Source organism: Homo sapiens, chromosome 20 (assembly GCF_000001405.40).
Source record: "Homo sapiens chromosome 20, GRCh38.p14 Primary Assembly".
NCBI lineage: Eukaryota > Metazoa > Chordata > Mammalia > Primates > Hominidae > Homo > Homo sapiens.
Window position 1 is genome coordinate 8,564,520 of NC_000020.11, and position 19,149 is coordinate 8,583,668.

General features: G+C 38.5%; 1 protein-coding gene and 1 long non-coding RNA gene across 3 annotated transcripts in view; one reads left to right on the top strand and one right to left on the bottom strand.

Moving 5' to 3' along the window:
- Window positions 1–19,149, top strand: part of PLCB1 (phospholipase C beta 1) — a 752,635-nt gene that overhangs the window by 432,254 nt on the left and 301,232 nt on the right. The window lies entirely within an intron of this gene.
- LOC124904867 (uncharacterized) lies at window positions 508–12,769 on the bottom strand. Its single transcript, XR_007067519.1, has 3 exons — window positions 6,103–12,769; window positions 1,833–6,016; window positions 508–1,465 (listed from the first exon to the last, which is right to left on the bottom strand). It is a non-coding gene; the product is annotated as an uncharacterized LOC124904867 (long non-coding RNA).

The following is a 19,149-nucleotide window of genomic DNA, read 5'->3' on the forward strand; positions in this document are numbered from 1 at the left end:
AAAGAAACTACCATCAGAGTGAACAGACAACCTACAGAATGGGAGAAAATTTTTGCAGTGTATCCACCTGACAAAGGGCTAATATTCAGAATCTACAAAGAGCTTAAGCAAATTTACAAGAAAAAAACAAACAACCCCATCAAAAAGTGGGCGATGGATATGAACAGACACTTCTCAAAAGAAGACATTTATGCAGCCAACATACATATGAAAAAAAAGCTCATCATCACTGGTCATTAGTGAAATGCAAATAAAAACCACAATGAGATACCATCTAACACCAGTTGGAATGGCAATCATTAACAAATCAGGAAACAACAGATGCTGGAGAAGATGTGGACAAATAGGAACAATTTTACACTGTTGGTGGGAGTGTAAATTAGTTCAACCATTGTGGAAGACAGTGTGGTAATTCCTCAAGGATCTAGAACCAGAAATACCATTTGACCCAGCAATCCCATTACTGGGTATATACGCAAAGGATTATAAATCATTCTACTATAAAGACACATGCACATGTATGTTTATTACGGCAGTGTTCACAATAGCAAAGACTTGGAACCAACCCAAATGCCCATCAATGATAGACTGGATAAAGAAAATGTGGCACATATATACCATGAAATACTATGCAGCCATAAAAAAGGATGAGTTCATGTCCTTTGCAGGGACATGGATGAAGCTGGAAGCCGTCATTCTCAGCAAACTAACACAAGAACAGAAAACCAAACACCACATGTTCTCACTCATAAGTGGGAGTTGAACAATGAGAACACACGGACACAGGAAGGGGAACATCACACACTGGGGCCTGTCAGTGGTTGGGGGGTTAGGGCATGGATATCATTAGGAGAAATACCTCATGTAGATGACATGTTGATGGGTGCAGCAAACCACCATGGCACGTGTATACCTATGTAACAAACCTGCACATTCTGCGCATGTACTTAAAGTATAATAAAAACTTAAAGTATAATAAACTTTATTATACTTTAAATATAATAAAGTATTATATAATAAAGAACTTAAAGTATAATAAAAAATAAAAAAAAGAAAGTGGGTCTGAATAGGCAAACAGAAATATATGGTATATCTGTTTAACCAACAGCTTTCCTCTCCTTTCTCTGGAAATGTAACCAGCTAGAAGACTGGAGTAGCCATGTGACTAATTCTGACTAATGTGGTGTAAGTAAAAGTGGCAAGGTAGGACTTTAAGGAAGATTTTTTTTCTCAAGAGGATATAGACCCCAGAACCTGTGTTTTGTCCTCAGTCATTTCCTCCTTCATGATACCTGCAAAACGGAGGTGAAGATTGAGGTTCCAACTGCCATTTTGGACTGGATTTAGGCAAATTTGCATTTGGATGTCATTGCTAAGGATGGGAGAGCAGAAATTTACAAGAAGTGTGTGCACTAGTGACTAAAGCCACCACAGCAGCGCTGGATTCCTCTTCTGAATTTATTCCCTGTGAAGGAAAATTAATCATTATATATTAAAAAAATCAACAGTTCAAAAGTTTCATCTCATTATGTATTTGCTATCAATTATATAATTAAAGTATGATGTAGGAATTTTTAAATCATCGCTTTTAAATTTTAAAAATTAGTTCTAAGACCCCAAACTATGTGCAATTTTACAAAGTATATTTGACTGCCTTACAACAGGCTACTATCTACTTAGGTATTGTGCTTACTTCAGATGAAAATTGTGCCTTATCAACAGGTGGAAACAATCATTAAATATTAAAAATATTTGCTTAATGTAGCAAGTGAATGGGTGGACGAATCATCTCAGTTTCTATCGGGTTTTCAGCATGTGAACCTAGTGTTTACCTTGTCAAAAAGTTGATTGTTTCTAATAAGCAGGATAACAGATATTCTAGCACCTTCAAAGTCGAACAGAGCTGAGAAATGAAGTGTGACTTATCCTGTGGAATGTAAAAAACAACATTTTTTAGGAAGCATGTGAATATGAATGAGAGGATGATCATCATTTAAATATCACCAAATAAACATAACATTTCTGTTGGGCATCTTTTGAGCAGTTAGATTTTCCATGGAATATGTTCCAGCTTTGTTTTGCTTGGTTGGTAATCATAGCACTGAATTTAATAAATAGATATTATTGAATTTCCTTGGAATGTTCCTGGTGTTGTAACATAAATTTAGTGCTTAACTGGCTATGATATATGGCTACATATCTATAGTACTTACAGGTGGTGAAGTCTGTTTTAGGTTTTCTGCACTTCGGTTACTTAGCTTGAGCTATCTTGAGATTATAAATCACTTCTTTTTTTTTTTTTTTTCAAACTACACATTCATGACATACAGCATCAACAGAAGATGATTTATTCTGTGACCCTACTGGCAAAAGAATATATTGATACTATAATTTTGCTAGGTGTCATTTGTTCTTGAGGGTTCCTTGTGTTGGTATGCAATAGCAAATTAATCCAGAATTGCAAGGTAGAAGGAAATATAACAGAACTCGTAATTCTGATCCTGAGTCAGTTAGCTGAATAACTTGATCAGATCACATCTAATTTTTCTCAATGAGAGCACTACTGGCATCTCAGGCCATTGTGTGATATTGGCCTGGGCACTGGCCTCACAAACACTGCAAAGCAGTAGCACTTTCAGCCAGTTAAAATGTCACGGACTTCTGCAGCAGCCTCTTGATTTGTGTGTTCCAGAACTTGAGCTCCAGGGACGATGGGCCAAGTTTGGGAGCAAGTACTAGAGTTTTAACTTAAAGTTAAAAGCGGAGGGGTGCTAAAATGTTGACTCTGATACAGGTCTGTGGCAATTTAATTCCATTTCCCCCTCTGTCTTGAACCCCTTCTACTTGACCACTAACAGTTTTTAGCCTAAATTATCCGGATACCCAAGTCTTCACTTCATTCTCCCCTGTGGACAACCCAATGCCTGGGAACATGATGTTCATAAGTTTAGTATTCTCCAATACATCAAGATCTTGATGGAAAATCTCTCTAAAATAGTAATGGGAAAAATCTTCCCTCCAAAATTCCAATTATTTTGAGTGAACATCATCATGCATATAAAACCAATGTCACTGGCATGCATCAGAAACTTTAATTTAACATAGGTTAGCAATAATCATTAGTAGTCGAAACTTCATTGCTGATCAGTAGTGGGATGGTGCCTGTGAATAGCCACTGCACTCTAGCCTGGGCAACATAGCAAGACTCCAACTCTAAAACACATAAATAAATAAATACTTTAAAAAAATCATTAGTAGGTGGTATGTTCCTTCTCTACTTAAAAGCAACCAATGTTGAAATGTCCATTTGAAGTTGTTAAAAATTTTTAAAGACATGACTTAGAAATTGCGACTTAGCAACTAAAGCTGTGACTTTGAAGTCAATTTATACTTTAAAGGGAATCTATTATCAGTTAAGTTTTCAGATCTCATAACCAAATTGGAAATCTGAAGAAGTCAGAAGTTCTAAAATGCAGTGTTTTGAAAGGACATTGATATATAGTTGTGATATTGTCTTAGCAACACATTTTTCTTTAAAAGAAGAATTTCTTCTTGTATTATCAATCCTTAAAATGGGTCATGTATTCTTGGAAAACAGGGTATTCATGCAATCTTTAAAACACCGTCTAAACTTCAAGTGAACTTCAAACAGCCCAAACCAAATATATGCTGGATAAAGTGTATTGTGGTTACTGGAAAACTTTAAAATATGAAACATTCCTATTGCTGTTGGTATTTTACCTCTGAGAATTTTCTAGCCAAAGTTCTATTTGAACAGAGGTCAAAAATCAGTTACTGCGTGGGCTTTTCTTAAGGGATGAATTTAATGAAAGGGCCTAGTTATTGCAACATATGCTGCCTTCATTTCAAAAGATTTCCTTAAAGCATAATGATTAAAGCCTGTGGAGAAAAAAATTTGTACTTTTCAAAAGCTCCATGAAGTACCCCACAGAAGGAAAAACAAAGTTCTGAATCCACATATAGAATGAATAAATATTCCTTTTAGCTTAAAAGTCATAAAAATCATTAGTTATTTTTGCTCCCTTTTATTGAAAGTGTTTTAAGAGTTTTAAAAGACCAGTGTACACTGTATCAAATATTCCTGCTTATTTCCAAAGAAAAGTGAACTGCTTTATTTTGAATTTTTTTTTTTCTTTACACAGAGTAGGGAAGAATTCAAATGTTCAGCAAGTATTCTTAAGCACCTAAGTCATTGCACTAAAGTAAATCTCATTTGATGGCTCTCTTAAGGTGGATTCTCTAGAACCAAAGACTGAGAGACACTTTTGGGTACAAAGAGTTTATCTGGAAGGTGATGTCAACAAGCACCAGTACAGCGGGGAGAAATAGAGAGAAGGAAAGGCAGCAAGGCAGCCAATATGGTGTGAGTTAACAAGCAGGTTACTATTGTGGACAACTGGAAGCTAATCCCACTGGAGTATTGGGGATGAGAGGTTATAACACAGATCTTACTGTTATCCCACATGAGGGGCAAGGGAGCAGAGGTAGTTATCCACCAACAGGTTTTGATTGATGGATGCATCTGGTTTGTAAGGGAGCTCTCCCTTGAAATGCTCTTTCATTCAACCACTGCTGCTCATCCCATACTTGGGCCTACTGGACACCAGCAAGAGTGCCTTTAGGCAGAAAGCTTCAGTTGTTTGCCTCGAAAGTCATCGTAGGAATGATGGGAACTCAGAAAATATTGCCAGGACACTGACTACATCTGCCACGGTGAAAAGCTGTCTCTAAAATCCAACTACAAAGTAAACAAGTATTTCCCCAAAAGATAAATGTTAATAGTAAAATACATATCAGAAATTATCCAAACTGTCTAGTAATCAGAAATTAAAACAGGATTAATCCAAATTGAGGGGTATTTAATTATCAAATTTTTATAAAACTGTGATAAAGCCTAATATGGCAGGGTACTGTTGGTACTAAGAATATTATTTTTAAAAGCCACTTGGCATTGTGTTTCAATAGGTAAATCAATGTTCACATACACTGACCTAATGATTAAATTTCTAGGATATAAGTATGAAAGAAACGAAATAAAACTTGAAGAGAGTGACAATATCCTATGTGTCCACAAAAATAGGGAAATGATTAAGTAGATTATAGTGTATGCAATCACTGATATTTTTATAATCAATAAGATTAGGGTTGTTAAGGTAAGTATTAGCATGAAAATAAATGCTTATACTGTAACAATAAGTAGAAAAATGATGCACAAAAGTATACATGCATTCCAGTTGCAGCTATCTTATTTTTCAACAGCATTAAAAACTACTGGAAGGAAATACATCCAAAAGGCTAATAGTGATTAAAATTTACTACCAGTGTCAATTACAATGTTTTATTTGCAAGGAACAGAAAATCCAACTCTCACTGGCTTGAGCAATGAAATATATTTCTTCATGTAACTGTGTAACTAGAAAGCCCAAGGGTTGGGCTTCAGGTTTGAACCAGCCAGCAGCTCAACCAGGTCATTAAAGGTCTGGTTGTTTCTCTTCACTCTTCCTTAATGTTTGCTTCATGCCAAAGCAGGCTGTCCTCTTGGTTGTCATTTTGATGCCAACAGAAACTAGAACTAGAAACTAGATGCTTCCATGCTCACACTGAGGGTCAGAATGAGGGCTTTTATCCCTCAACCATTGAACAAAATTTCAGAGGTCATCTTACTATCAGCTACAAGCCTGTCGGTGAACCCAAAACTGTGGCTGGGGGATAAGATTGGTTGTAAGCAGATCAGGGCACCCCTCTGCAACAGTGGTGGAGTCAATTCCCCTCTAAGTCTGTGGCTTCCACCCAGTGAGGAAGGTAGAGAGTGGGTGAAGAGGAGACAATGCCAATATCTACGGTAATATATGAATATATATAGGTATATATGTCGTTTTTGCATGTGGGTGCATATATGTAAAGATACATATATACGAACACACCCATCAACAGAGGAAACACAACTGCACTTACCACGCTGATTAATTTTTTTATTTACTCATTCAGCTGACACCTACTTTGTTCCAGACACTATCTTAGAGACCCCAGAAACAACAATAAATAAGACAGTTAAGGTCCCTGATCTCACGCAGCTGACACCTACTTTGTTCCAGACACTATCTTAGAGACCCCAGAAACAACAATAAATAAGACAGTTAAGGTCCCTGATCTCACGGAGCTGAAATCCCAGTGAAGGAAGACAGGCAATAAGCAAATGAGTTCATGATCAGGAAAAATGGTATGAAGTAACTAAAGCAAGGTGCCAGTTGGAGTAACCAGGTGTATTTTGTTTTCTTTTGAGTGGTTAGAGGAGGACTCTTTGAGGAGGAGACATTTAAGCTGAGATCTGTATGAAAAGAAGAGCCATCCAGGCAAAGATCAGGGGTCTGGAGCACACAGAGAAGAAAGCTCATTAGTACAAAAGGGCTTTAAAGTCAAAGTAATCCTGGGATTTTGGAGAAATCACAAGTCCTGTGAAGCAGAGCCATGGTGTATGAAAAGTGGAATGGAATAAAGAGAGTGTGGAATGGTATGTAGGCACCAGGTCATGTAAAACTGTGGAGACAATGGTTGGAATTTGGGTGTCATGCAAAGAGCAAGGAGACTCATTTGAATGTTTTTAGTAGAAAAAGGGAAATACCTATTTGTGTTTTTTAGAAATCTGTTTGGGAGGCCAGGCATGGTGGCTCACGCCTGTAATCCCTATCCCAGCACTTTGGGAGGCTGGGACAGAGGGATGACTTGAGGTCAGGAGTTCAAGACCAACCTAGCCAACATGGTGACACTCCATCTCTACCAAAAAGACAAAAATTAGATGGGCGTGGTGCCACACACCTGTGATCCCAGCTACTCGGGAAGCTGAGGCAGGAGAATCACTTGAACTCGGGAGACAGAGGCTGCAGTGAGCTGAGATCATGCCACTGCATTCCAGCCGGGGTGACCAAGTGATACTCCGTCTCAAAAAAAAATAATAAATAAAAAATAAAGGATCTGTTTGAGGATGGTTTATAAGATGGCTTGTGGAGAGACAACAGGAAATTCAGGCCTGTACTTGTCTAGGCAAGAGATGGTGACGACTTGAACTAAAGAGTAATAGAGGATTGAGAGGAATGGAAGGCCTGATGTATACTGTGTGGAGATAATGCCCTATGTCCTACTGATGGAGAAAGTCATGGAATAAAGGCTAACTCAATTATTTTATGTGAGCAACTGGTGGGTTGATGGGCTGTGACCAAGATGAGGAAAACGAGGGAAGATTTGGAAAGAAAGGGAAGAACTAAGAACACTTTATGGACATTTAAAGCTCGGGGTGTCTGTTAGTCATTAGGGCTGATTACATATTTGCTGGCACACTCCAAAAGTGAAACTGAGGGGCCCTTTTCCAAAAAGCAATGGGGGAAGTGCCAATAAAGATACTAAAATAGAACACTTTTCTTTCTTCTGCAATCTCTCTCTTGACTGGTAATGGTATTTTTTTAAAAATTACTATTTAATGTCATTCTAAGTAAAAAAAAATTAAAATTGTTTATTACGAGTTTTAACATTCATTCTTACATTGTGCAATGCTATTTTCAGCAAATAAAATGCCATTTTAATCATTTAATTTATATACAGAATCACAAAAATTATACAATTCACATTTCATAGATAGTACATGCCTATGTTTTTTGTTCTTATCAAGATAGAGGAACTACTGTACAAAACTAGTATCATTGTTTTTATTTTACTTCTTGATACATGAACACCCTACCAGCCTTCTGTACCTTCAGCTTACTTATGAGAAAGGAAGGACTGGAAAGAAGGGGAACTCTGGGTTGTTCCATCTTTCTCACTTTTTCTATGTCATTATATTCAGTGTAATGGTTGGCTAATAGAAATAACACATAATGATTAGGATTATTGGTGTTTCATGTTTTAGAATGCTATTTCTGCATTTGAAGCAAGTTCTGATTCTAATGGAAAGCATGACTTTTCATAGATGTGAGAACCTGGAGATGTAACACTTTTATCATGTAGTTGGTTTGAGCCTCATTGAACTCTCATTGTGGATCCATGGACATTCTGTGCACCCGAGCATTGCAAATTCAATATGTGAGCAGGGCAGCAAAGAACAATGGACATGTATCTTGCACATATCTCCTCTGCTTATGTGCATTCTCCATTGTTCGATCAGACTTCAGTTACAAAACACAAGCTCAAAGATAAAATGATGGAGAATTTCAGGACAATGACTGCAGAACATTAAACTAAGCATGGGTCCTTCTGAGTACTGGGCCCTGTGTGACTGCAGAGGCCTCACACTCATGAAGCTGGCCCTGCATTCATGTGGAAATGTGTAAAAAATAGATATTGAAGTCGGGAGAGCTGGTGAAAGGTCATTTTTGGAGATGTAGGCTTGGGAATTATTAGTATTTATATATTTAATATTTAGGGCATAGACAGGGTGAGACCACCTACAGGGAGTGTGCAGATGAAGAAAATTTCTCAGAAAAGAATCCTAGACACTCCAGTAACACAAAATGCCGTGGACCTGAAAAGTATATTGAGAAGGAATGGCCAGAAAAGTAGGAGGATAGCAGGAAAGTCCAAAATTCTAAAACCCATTAGAAGACAATAGTTAAAGTAGAGGGATATGATCACTTATCTTGAAAGCTACTGAGATGTCAAGCAAGATGAGAAAGGAAATGTCATTATTGGATTTGCCAACATAGGGGTCATTGGTGACCTTGGTGAATACAGCCTCTCTAGAAAAAGGAGGACAAACATTCAAGTGAATATTCAGGAGATAATGAATGGTGAGAAAGGAGACAGCAATGTTGACAACTTTTTCAAGAACTTTAACTAGGAAATGGAACAGAGAAATGGTGCTGTGTTTGCCGAAGGATGGGGTATCAAGGGAATGATGTCAATATGTTTGGCAGCAATTATTTTCAATGCTGCATACTATTCCATTCTCTGAACCTATTGTAAACTATATATTCATGAGTGTTTAGTATATACACATACCTCTGTTTTGCAAAGCAGTTTGTCATGCTACTACCATCAACAGGGACAAGAGGTCCCAATTATTCACATTCTAATTCAAAGTGTGAGACTCTGGCCAAATGATCCTTCTGACCTCTCTGTAAAAAGACCAAGTTCTAAATGACTTTGGCTTTCACTTTGATCTCTGTTAATCAAGATTTACTCTGAGCTCCCAAAGGCATAAAGAGCTTTTTCCTTCTGGTTTCTTGCTTCTCTCCAAGCAGGACTTTGGAGTATCAGTGGGTGATTACAGTGATAGTTTCCTTCATGGCTTTCAGGCCATGAACAAATGAAAACAGAACAAAAGGCCAAGAATTCCATGCTTCTGTAAGTCTGTTATTTCAGGGTAATTACACATTTACATTTTTGCAGCTAGCAGCTGATGGACATTGTGCAAAAGGGAAAAAAAGATAAATGTAGATTTTTTTAAGGTTTTCTTTATGACTTTGTTTTTAAAGACTACTTTGTGTTTGAAACATACAAATTAGAGCTCAAAAGTTTCCAGCAATTAGTTTACACAGCAAAAGAGAAGGAATCAAGGCCAAAGAACAATCTTATTTAAAATGCTGTGGTTGGCCTGGCATAGTGGCTTATGCCTGTGATCCCAGCACTTTGGGAGGCTGAGGCAGGCGGATCACCTGAAGTCAGGAGTTCAAGACCAACCAATATGGGTGAAACCCCATCTCTATTAAAAATACAAAAATTAGCCAGGCATGGTGGCGAGCACCTGTAATCCCAGCTACTCTGGAGGCTGTGGCAGGGGAATTGCTTGAAGACAAGAGGCAGAGGTTGCACTGAGCCAAGATCATGCCACTGCACTCCAGCCTGGGTGACAGAGCGAGACTCCTTCTCAAAACAAAACAAAAAAATGCTGTGTTTAAGAAGAGGGTATCTGAGGATCATGGAATTTTAGTCACAGAAAAAAACAGAAATACTAAGTGTTTATTATTCTTAATCAGTTTCATCACATGTAGGTCCTGAGTCAAGGACTTGAATGAAAATCGTTTATTTTGAAGAAGTTCCCAGGGAACAGCATTAGAAGTATGTCGAAGGGAGGAAGGGAAGTGATGTAGTCAATAAAGGATATGTTATCAAGCCATTACTACTGTGGGCAACCAGAGTCAATCCCACTGGAAACTGGGAGGCATGATCAAATACAAGCCTCAGAGTTTCCCCACTGGAGGTGCAAGGGAGCTGGGATATTTATCCACCAACTTTCTTGAGTCATTGGTTGATGGTTGTTTCCAGGAGACATCAACTCTCTTGCACTTCCAGCCTGTTAGGCCTTAAGCAGGCTCTGGCCATGGAAAAATCACTTCAACAGAAAAGATATAAAGGCTGATAGTTAGAAGTCGAGTCCAAATTCAATAAGATGGTAAAGAGAGACACAGCTGGGGAATCAACAGAGGCCTGTAATCGGTATGGAAGGGACAATAGTCGTTAAAACAAAGCTCCCTCTGTACTTGTTTCTGACACTAATCCAAATGAGGACCTCCAATTCCCCCTTAGGAAATCATCCATTTAGTCCAACCCATAGATTGGCTTATAAGGACATGGAGGCTCAGTGATACTTAGTGACTTGCTCAAGGGTGCACAGATGCAGTAGAGAAATTGGACATCTTGATGTATTAATATGTGAGTTTGATGAACATGAGTAAAATGTGTCTTCAAATATTTAGACAGAGAGAAAGAAAATAGCTGTCTGAGACATTCAAGTGAAGCATTTCAAATGGAAACTTCTTAGCTTATACTTAGCCCCAGCCAGACTCAGAAACAGATATAGGCACTAGACTAGACAGCATCAACATTCCAACAGGAGTTTTCCCTTCACCGTGGAAGATTATTATTGTGCCCACAGAAAATGTCTGTGCATAGACAGAGCCCATATGACTCTTGCATTTTCTTTCCTGACTTAGACATAAATTTGGCAAAGGAGCATCATGCGAAGTGGACAGAACGTTCCTTTTGTCCTTTGAACTAGACAAGAATCAGGCAATGACCCTGCCTTAGCACTTTATTTAGAGATGAATTCCCCCGCTCTAGGGTTTTGGTGGACAGGTTTATTTCACTGTAAGTGGGAAAATTCCTGGCTGTTTCTCACCTCACCGAAGAGTGCTAACAGAGGGATTCCCATTGATCTGATTTGTTTGCACTGTAAGGCTGGATTCAACTTCAGCGTGAAATCATCTTGCAATCTGAAATAATCTTGATTGGATTTCCGTTTGGATTAACATCACGTAAGAGTTGATATCCACTCTACCATCAGAGATTGTGGTCTATGCTACTTCTTTTGTCCCTTTGTTTTATATAAGTAACGAGCTTGGAGATGTAAATCAGTCACCATTTTAAACTGATTGATCAAACTCAGTAAGAAATAAAACCTTTTCATGGAACTCACTCAGCCTTCAAACATTTGCAAATTAACTAAGTCATAAGTACTCTAGACCAATTTATAAAAACACAGTTAAAATATCTCAATTAAAATCATACATACTCACATGTTCAAATAAACTGCAATAAGCTTCTATAAAATTGCTTAGAAAATATAATTTCTGTTTTAAATTTGTAAATTATTTCCCAGGTCATCAAATTAATAATTGAAAAAAACCTTCTAATAATTGGTGGGTATTTCTGCCTAATTTTCATTAAAAGTGGTAGTTTAGTCTGTCCTCCTGAAGCACTTAACCTGATTTTATATCTTAATAAAGGAACACTATTTAGGAGTTTGGGGACTGTGCTATGCTGTGAAAGCCATTCCTTGGAGCCCATTTTTGTTATTGATGAAATTCTTCCAGTCTGGGATGAACAAACTGTAAAGCCATAAATAAAAGACCAAGGAGAAGAAAGACACTCTGATCAGACATTCCTAATTCTAAATATAGTTTAAGAATCTGTCTCCTGTTCATTTTAGCAAAAGGTTTGGAGATAACATTTCACACTGACATATTTCCATACAATCATTTAAATTTATTATTTCCAGTTTTTAGTGTAAATATACATATACACATAGTCTCTCTTTATATATAACTAAAAATCTAAGCTCATCCTAGAAATATTTTGGGAATATGTATTTTATAAAGAAACAGAATCAGAATATAATTTGTTACTCATCTCTCTTTCCAAAGGCAACCCAAGTTAATTTCCTGGAATCTCTCCTAGTAGTATTTTTAAGCATTCATTTGTCTTTTATCTAGCTGGAATTAAGTTAAATGTGGGATTGTGTTTCATGCCATTGTTTTATATTGTAAGATATTAAAACATAATATTTTTAAGTTGTAGCCATCAATTTAATGATTAACTACACAATAATTCATACATTACCTACATTTCTATGAGTTTTTCAAGTCTACGTGTGATGGTGAGACCTGCATTTGAGATAAGGGGCAAACCGAGTGCATGGAAGGAGGTACAGAGGTAATATTAGAGAGCTGACCTTAATCCTGTAGAGCCAGGTCATGAAAAGGGAGTAGAGAACCTCAAGAGAAGAGCAGAGGGAGAAAGAATGTGAGTTTGACGACAAGTTGCATTAATAAAAAACCAACAATCAAGTCATGTATTATTTGTAGACATACAAAAGATAAATACTTTTTAAGAGTCTTGAGGCCGGATGCGGTGGCCCAAGCCTGTAATCCCAGCACTTTGGGAGGCTGAGGCGGGCGGATCACGAGGTTGGGAGATCGAGACCATCCTGGCTAACATGGTGAAACCCCGTCTCTATTAAAAATACAAAAAAAAAAAAAAATTAGCTGGGCGTGGTGGCGGGCACCTGTAATCCCAGCTACTCCGGAGGCTGAGGCAGGAGAATGGCGTGAACCCGGGAGGCGGAGCTTGCAGTGAGCCGAGGTCGTGCCACTGCACTCCAGCCTGGGCAACAGAGCGAGACCCTGTCTCAAAAAAAAAAAAAAAAAAAGAATCTTGAAAATAACAATGTTGAATCATAAAAGCATTTCACATTTTCCTTGATGACCTTCTAACTTAAGCAATCTTAACTGGCAAAACTAAAAAATCAAAATATTAATAATTCCCCCACGATATGTGTCCTAGTTTAGTTTATAAGTCTTGGCACTTAAGAGATCTAATGAGAACTTACATTTAAAACATGTTTTAAAATAAATTTTAAAAGCTAGAGATAAATCCATGGACAGTAAACCATGCTAGAGGTAAATCCATGGGCAATAAACCATGCCAGTTCTCTTTTCTGTGCTAATTATTAGATTATCAATGCCTTTATTTTTCTCCCCTTTCTGTCTTCCTCTTTTGATTTTGTTTTCAATGTTAAAATGCCAAGGCACTTATAATGCTTCCCATATTAGGTTTTCTTCTGAAAACCATTTGTCCTTTTCTGTATACCAGATTCTCATTATAACTGGGTCTGTGCGTGTGAGCTGTGGAGCCTCCACCTTTGTAAACAAGCCTAAAAAAATTGCTTCTGTAACTAATAAGCCTGATGCCTTCAGCCCATAGGGATCTCTTTCATCTCTGTTCTAATAAAACTTACTAGCAATTAACTCATAATCCTAACCTCTGTAAGCCTTTGTAATTTATTTTTGGTATACTCATTCCTTTGTCTTCACTGCTTAATACCTTATTAAGAATAAGGACTATGCAAACTTTTGTGTGTGTCTTTCAGACACCAACCCAGTATTTGGCACATAATATACCTGCCATTAATTAATATTTTTGCTGAGTGAGCCAACTTCCTTTGGATGGGCATGAGATAACCACTTCTGTATAATACATTCTCTCCAGGGCAATTAAAGCAGTTTTTCAGTGTGTGAAGGTTGTAAATGATCAACTCTCAACAGTCCTTGATCTTTTAAAGCACAATGAGTGAAGGAAACAAAGCTGTTGACTCATAAAAATGAATTAATAAAAAGTAACCTCTCCTAAGTAAGAAATGGAATATAAAGGATGAGTGTTGAGTGACCACAAGGGCCATAACTGGAAGTTGTGATGGAGAACACATGTGAGTTATTTGCAAGAAGAGTAAACATATTAAAGATGAAAAGCTCTGTGCAAAGAATAGTCCTAACCAATACTGTTTAAAGGACTATCCAGAGTACAGACGATAGATGGAATTCTTAGGGAAACAGCCTGTGCTTGTTCCCCCAATTATTTCTCTGGGCTTTGTAAACACTGCATATTTAGTGTTTGTCCATTACCATTCGGGGTCATTACAAAAGAACTCAGCCTTGACCTGGATTCCTGAGAAATAAATTACAGCTTTTCTTATTACCTTCCAGTAGAACTTGAAGCAATAATTCAAACTCTACGTTAAGTCATCATATATGATCACAAGTGAGTATGTTAATAACAAAATGGATATTCATATACAGACCCGAGTAAATTTCTGATGGCAGTCACATCTTGATAGGAATAAATACTGATTCATTACAAATTACTTAATAAATGTACATCTGGATTCTCAAGCATTATAACAGATGATAGAATATTAATCTTGTTTGTTTTCAGAGCACTTCTTTTTCTTTAAGTTATACTTGCTGCTATTTACTTCGCCAGAAGACTGATTGCATTATTGGCCCCAATTCTTCATCATTACTACCTCCCTGGATCCATGCCCTTAGACATGTAACTTTATAATTGCCTTCTACTCAGCAATGTGACACATTGCAAATGAGATGTTGGCAAATGTCACATCTACAGAGAAATAAAAAGCAGTTGTGCAATTGGGCTTGCTCTTAGGGTTGTCCTCTGACACTGCCATGAGAAGGATAGGCCCAGGCTATCCGGCCAGAGGAGGAATCACATGGGCTAGAGCTGAGTATCCACAGTTGTCTCAACCAAGGCAACCCTAGATAAGCCAACAGCAAGTCTACCTTCACACATGTGAGCAGGCTCAGTCAAGGCAAGCACGACCATGCAGTCTACCCATACAAGCGTAAGCTAAACAACTACTTATTGTTCCAAGCCTCTACATGTTGGGTTAGTTCGTTACATGGCATTAGTATGAAAATACCTAACTGATACACCTTGATTTCTCAATATTCAAATATAATTGCTTCTTATTAATCCTAAGTATAGAAGCATATGGACAATGACTAGAAAGACTTTGAGTAGGTCCCATTCATAGGATGTGATATCAAATTAAATTAAAAATACAATGTATTTTTCCCACAAAATGCTGAGAAAGTTTGAACCATTCTGTCTTCATTTTTTTTTCCTACACTAAGAACCAGGTGACTATAGAAGAGTCTAGCTGGCCTTATATTGGGTTCTCTAGGATTATGTATGGAGGGAGCATGCCGTGCCACAGGGGCCCACATAGGGAAGCACCAGGATCATCAGGAGACAGAGGGAGCAAGGGGAAAAATGTGAGCAAGGTCTTTTATTGTTGTTTCCACAGGAACAAATAGGCAAGGTAATGTAAGGCAGGCTTAGGATTGGCTTGTTTGAATAATTTCAGCAGGCTCTGGGGTGTAGGAGCTCTCTCTATTGTCTGGTACCTGGCCCTGGGTGATGGAGCAGTAGAATATTGGCCCTGAGTATGACAGCCTAATGAGAAGGTGGTGGGTATGTGGGCTCTGGATTGGTTAGTTTGTATATGACAGGTGTTGTCCTTGTTCACTGTCTCCAGGAATTAGCTAGCCCTCAGTGGGGCAGTGCTTCCAGTGTCAGCGAACTCCAAACTGGGGTGGCCCCACATGTCAAAGCATCAAAAATACAGAAAATAAAAAGGCATGACTAATACAACCTTCCCTTCAAAAATACACTCCTAAGGCAATAATATATTACTGTTCTTAGAGAGAAAAGTTAAGGGAGTTGCACTGTACTTAAAGTCATGTAGTTACGCTGTGATAATGATACAATGACCACAAAAATCTCAAAATATTTTTAAAGGAATCCTCAGTCTTATATAAAGTTTGCAGTGTTAACTTCTTGCTATACTGTCCTCTTTCGAGGGTTTTCTTTCCAATGATCAACATTGATTGATGTAGGACCTTCTTAGCGTTCTGCTAAATATGTGGGAAAAATACATGGCGTGTTTCCTGAATTTGTGGAATTTTTGCAGGGGAAGCAATAAGAGAGAAATAGAAGGCAATGTGAACTTAATATGCTTTAATAATGATTTACTGCACAACTACTGGGTGCTAGGCACTATGATAGGTGCTGGGGGATTTCAGTCAAATGCCATTTATGCTTTCAAGGAACTCATAGTTTAATGAGCACAAATTATATGAAAACAAATGATTGAGCTATGGTGAGCAGTCAACTCTGTTGGAATTAGTCAGAAAGCTTCAGGGAGGAGATCATCAAGGTGGGCCTTCAAGGATGAGTTTGACACAGGGCTGTAGGTGACACTTCGGGCAAAGGGAACTGTATGTGCAAAGGCACAGAGTCAGGAATTAAAGTGTCATAAGAAGCTACAAACATTTCCTTTACAACCAGGAACTGGGGTGTGTGTGGGAAAGTGGTAAGACATTAGGCTAATCCAGAAGCAGGTTGTGATCAAGGAGGAGCTCAAAGTCTGTACTAAGGAGTTAGGGCTTTACCCCACTAACAATAAGGAACAATTCATGAGTCTTAAGCAGAGAAATAATATAAACAACCTGCCTGCTTAAAAGGTTATTCAGGCTTTGCTATGAAGGACTTTAAGTTCTCTGAGGGTAGGAATTCTATCCATCTTTTTCACAATCTGTACCCCAGCACCTAGGGCCTGGCACCTAGGATGTATTCATGTAGCTGAGAACGCTGTGCTACTTAAATGTTCCAATGCTCCCCCGTACTTCCTAGTTCTCTTTGCAGTTAGACTGGAGCCCTGTGATTAGTTCTGTCCAGTGGTTATAACCAGAAGTGACTTGGCGACCATTTGGATATAGGAGGTGAAGGTGAAAAGTGAACCTAGGATGACATTTGAAATCTTGCTTGGGGTGGTTCAGAACAGGTTATAAGGAACAAGTATGGGACAATTTTGGATGTCCTGAGTTCAAGATGACTGTGAGATGAAGTTTTTAATTAGAATAGAGCTAAATGTTACAAGGTTTGACATAGGCAACAGTTACTATGGGAAATCAGGAAGGTAAAGTATTAAACATGTAGCACTTTGTGGGTTCTGCTAGAGTGACTCACTATCCAGGTTTGCCCAGGACTGAGGAGTTTCTTGGGATGCATGAAGGACTGTCAATGCCAATACCAAGAGAGTTCCAGGCAAACCAGGATGGTTGGTCATCCTAAGCCTGCTATACCTTACCACCTGCAAAGAATAGCTATTGAGTATTTCTACTCTGAATTCAGAAGTTTGTATTCCTCCGAACCTCTGTATCTCAACTACCATTCAGTTGTATGGAAAATGAATCCAAATTGGCCAGAGTAGGCAAGAAAGTATAAATTCTGTAAACCAGTGTTGTGCGAGAACCAATTCACACCAGCTCACAAGAGCTGATTTTACTCATTTCTTCACAACTCTACATTTGCTGAGTCATGCGAATAGGTTGCAGTTGGCCATGGTGGGAGAATTGACACTATGGAAATTAGCAAGTTCTACATATTAGAGCTTCTCTCCCCTATCCCCAACCCCAGAACTGGTTGTTAAACATTTACCAGGACACCTCTGCCATAAGCTGAGTTGAAAAGGTTTGGAAGACATTATATTGTGGGGATAGCCCAATGTAGATGCTATTGGTACCTCACCCTGCATCCCTTTACCTAGGGAGTGCACTTATCCCCCAGGTGCTGTGAGTGTTGGCAGCTAACAACTCACAGGCACCCCTTTTTCTAGGAATTGTCCTCAGCCAACAGGAGTTGCCGTGGCTGGAATACCTGGGAGGTAACGCCCTACACCCAATAGTGGCCCGTAGCCCATGATTGACTCATAGAGTGGTGTCAAAGGTCAGGCTTTTTACCCTAAGTTGGGACAGCACCGTGGTACCATTCATACTCCAGAACTCTCCAGGATCAGGCTGAGACCAGTCTCCAGCTGTAACTACGTCCTTGCCTAGCTGCCTCTGCTTCCCTATATTGCTTCCCTTATTCCCTCATCTGTTTCCCCTGAGAGCTTCTCTCAATGAATCCCTGCCTTATGTTCATATTAATAATAGCCAAAAGTAGAAGCAACCCAAATATCCATTGATGGATGAGTGGATAAACAAAATGGAGTATATCCATACAATGTAATATTATTTGGCCTTAAAAAGAAAAATTGGCTGGGCGAGGTGGCTCATGCCTGTAATCCCAGAACTTTGGGAGGCCAAGGCAGGCAGATCACTTGAGGCTAGGAGTTCCAGACCAGCCTGGCCCACATGGTGAGACTCTTTCTCTACTAAAAATACAAAAAATTAGCCGGACATAGTGGCACATGCTTGTAATCCCAGCTACTTGGGAAGCAGAAGCAGGAGGATTGCTTGAATCCAGGAGGTGGAAGTTGCAGTGAGCCGAGATCACACCGCTGCACTCTAGCCTGGGTGACAGAGTGAGACTCCATCTCAAAAAAAAAAAAAAAGAAAAGGAAAATGATTCTAACACATGCTCCAACATTGATGAACCTTACATTGATGAACCTTGAAGATATTATGCTAAGTAAAGAAAGCCTGTCATAAAAACACAAATACTGTTTGATTCCATTCATATGATGCATATAGAGCAGTCAAATTCATAGAAACAGAAGGTAGGATGGTGGTTGCCAGGGGCTAGGGAGAGGAAGGAATGAGGAGTTTTTGTTTAATGGGTACAGAGTGTCTATTATGCAGAGTGAAAAGAGTTCTGGGGATGGATACTGTCAATGATTGTACAACAACATGGATGTCTTTAACACTGCTGAACTTAAAAATGGTAAAAGTGATAAATTCTTATGTTATTTCTATTTTATCGCAATTAAAAATACAAAATAAAAGACATTAAATAGTTTTTTTAAAAAACATAAAATACAAAATAAATAAATTATTTAAAAACCCTCATCTTAGGCTCTGCTTCAAGGGAATCTAACCTAACACAGTCAGCCCAGGAGAATTTCTATGGAATGAACATATAATCTCCAGTACATATGCCATGTGCTAACAAACACATGAGAGAACTTTATGATCTGTGTGCTTTCGTTGAGCAGAGAACGTCCCTTTGATTCCTGAGCTTACTGGAATATCATTACGTAATTCTCCCCCATTTCCTGCT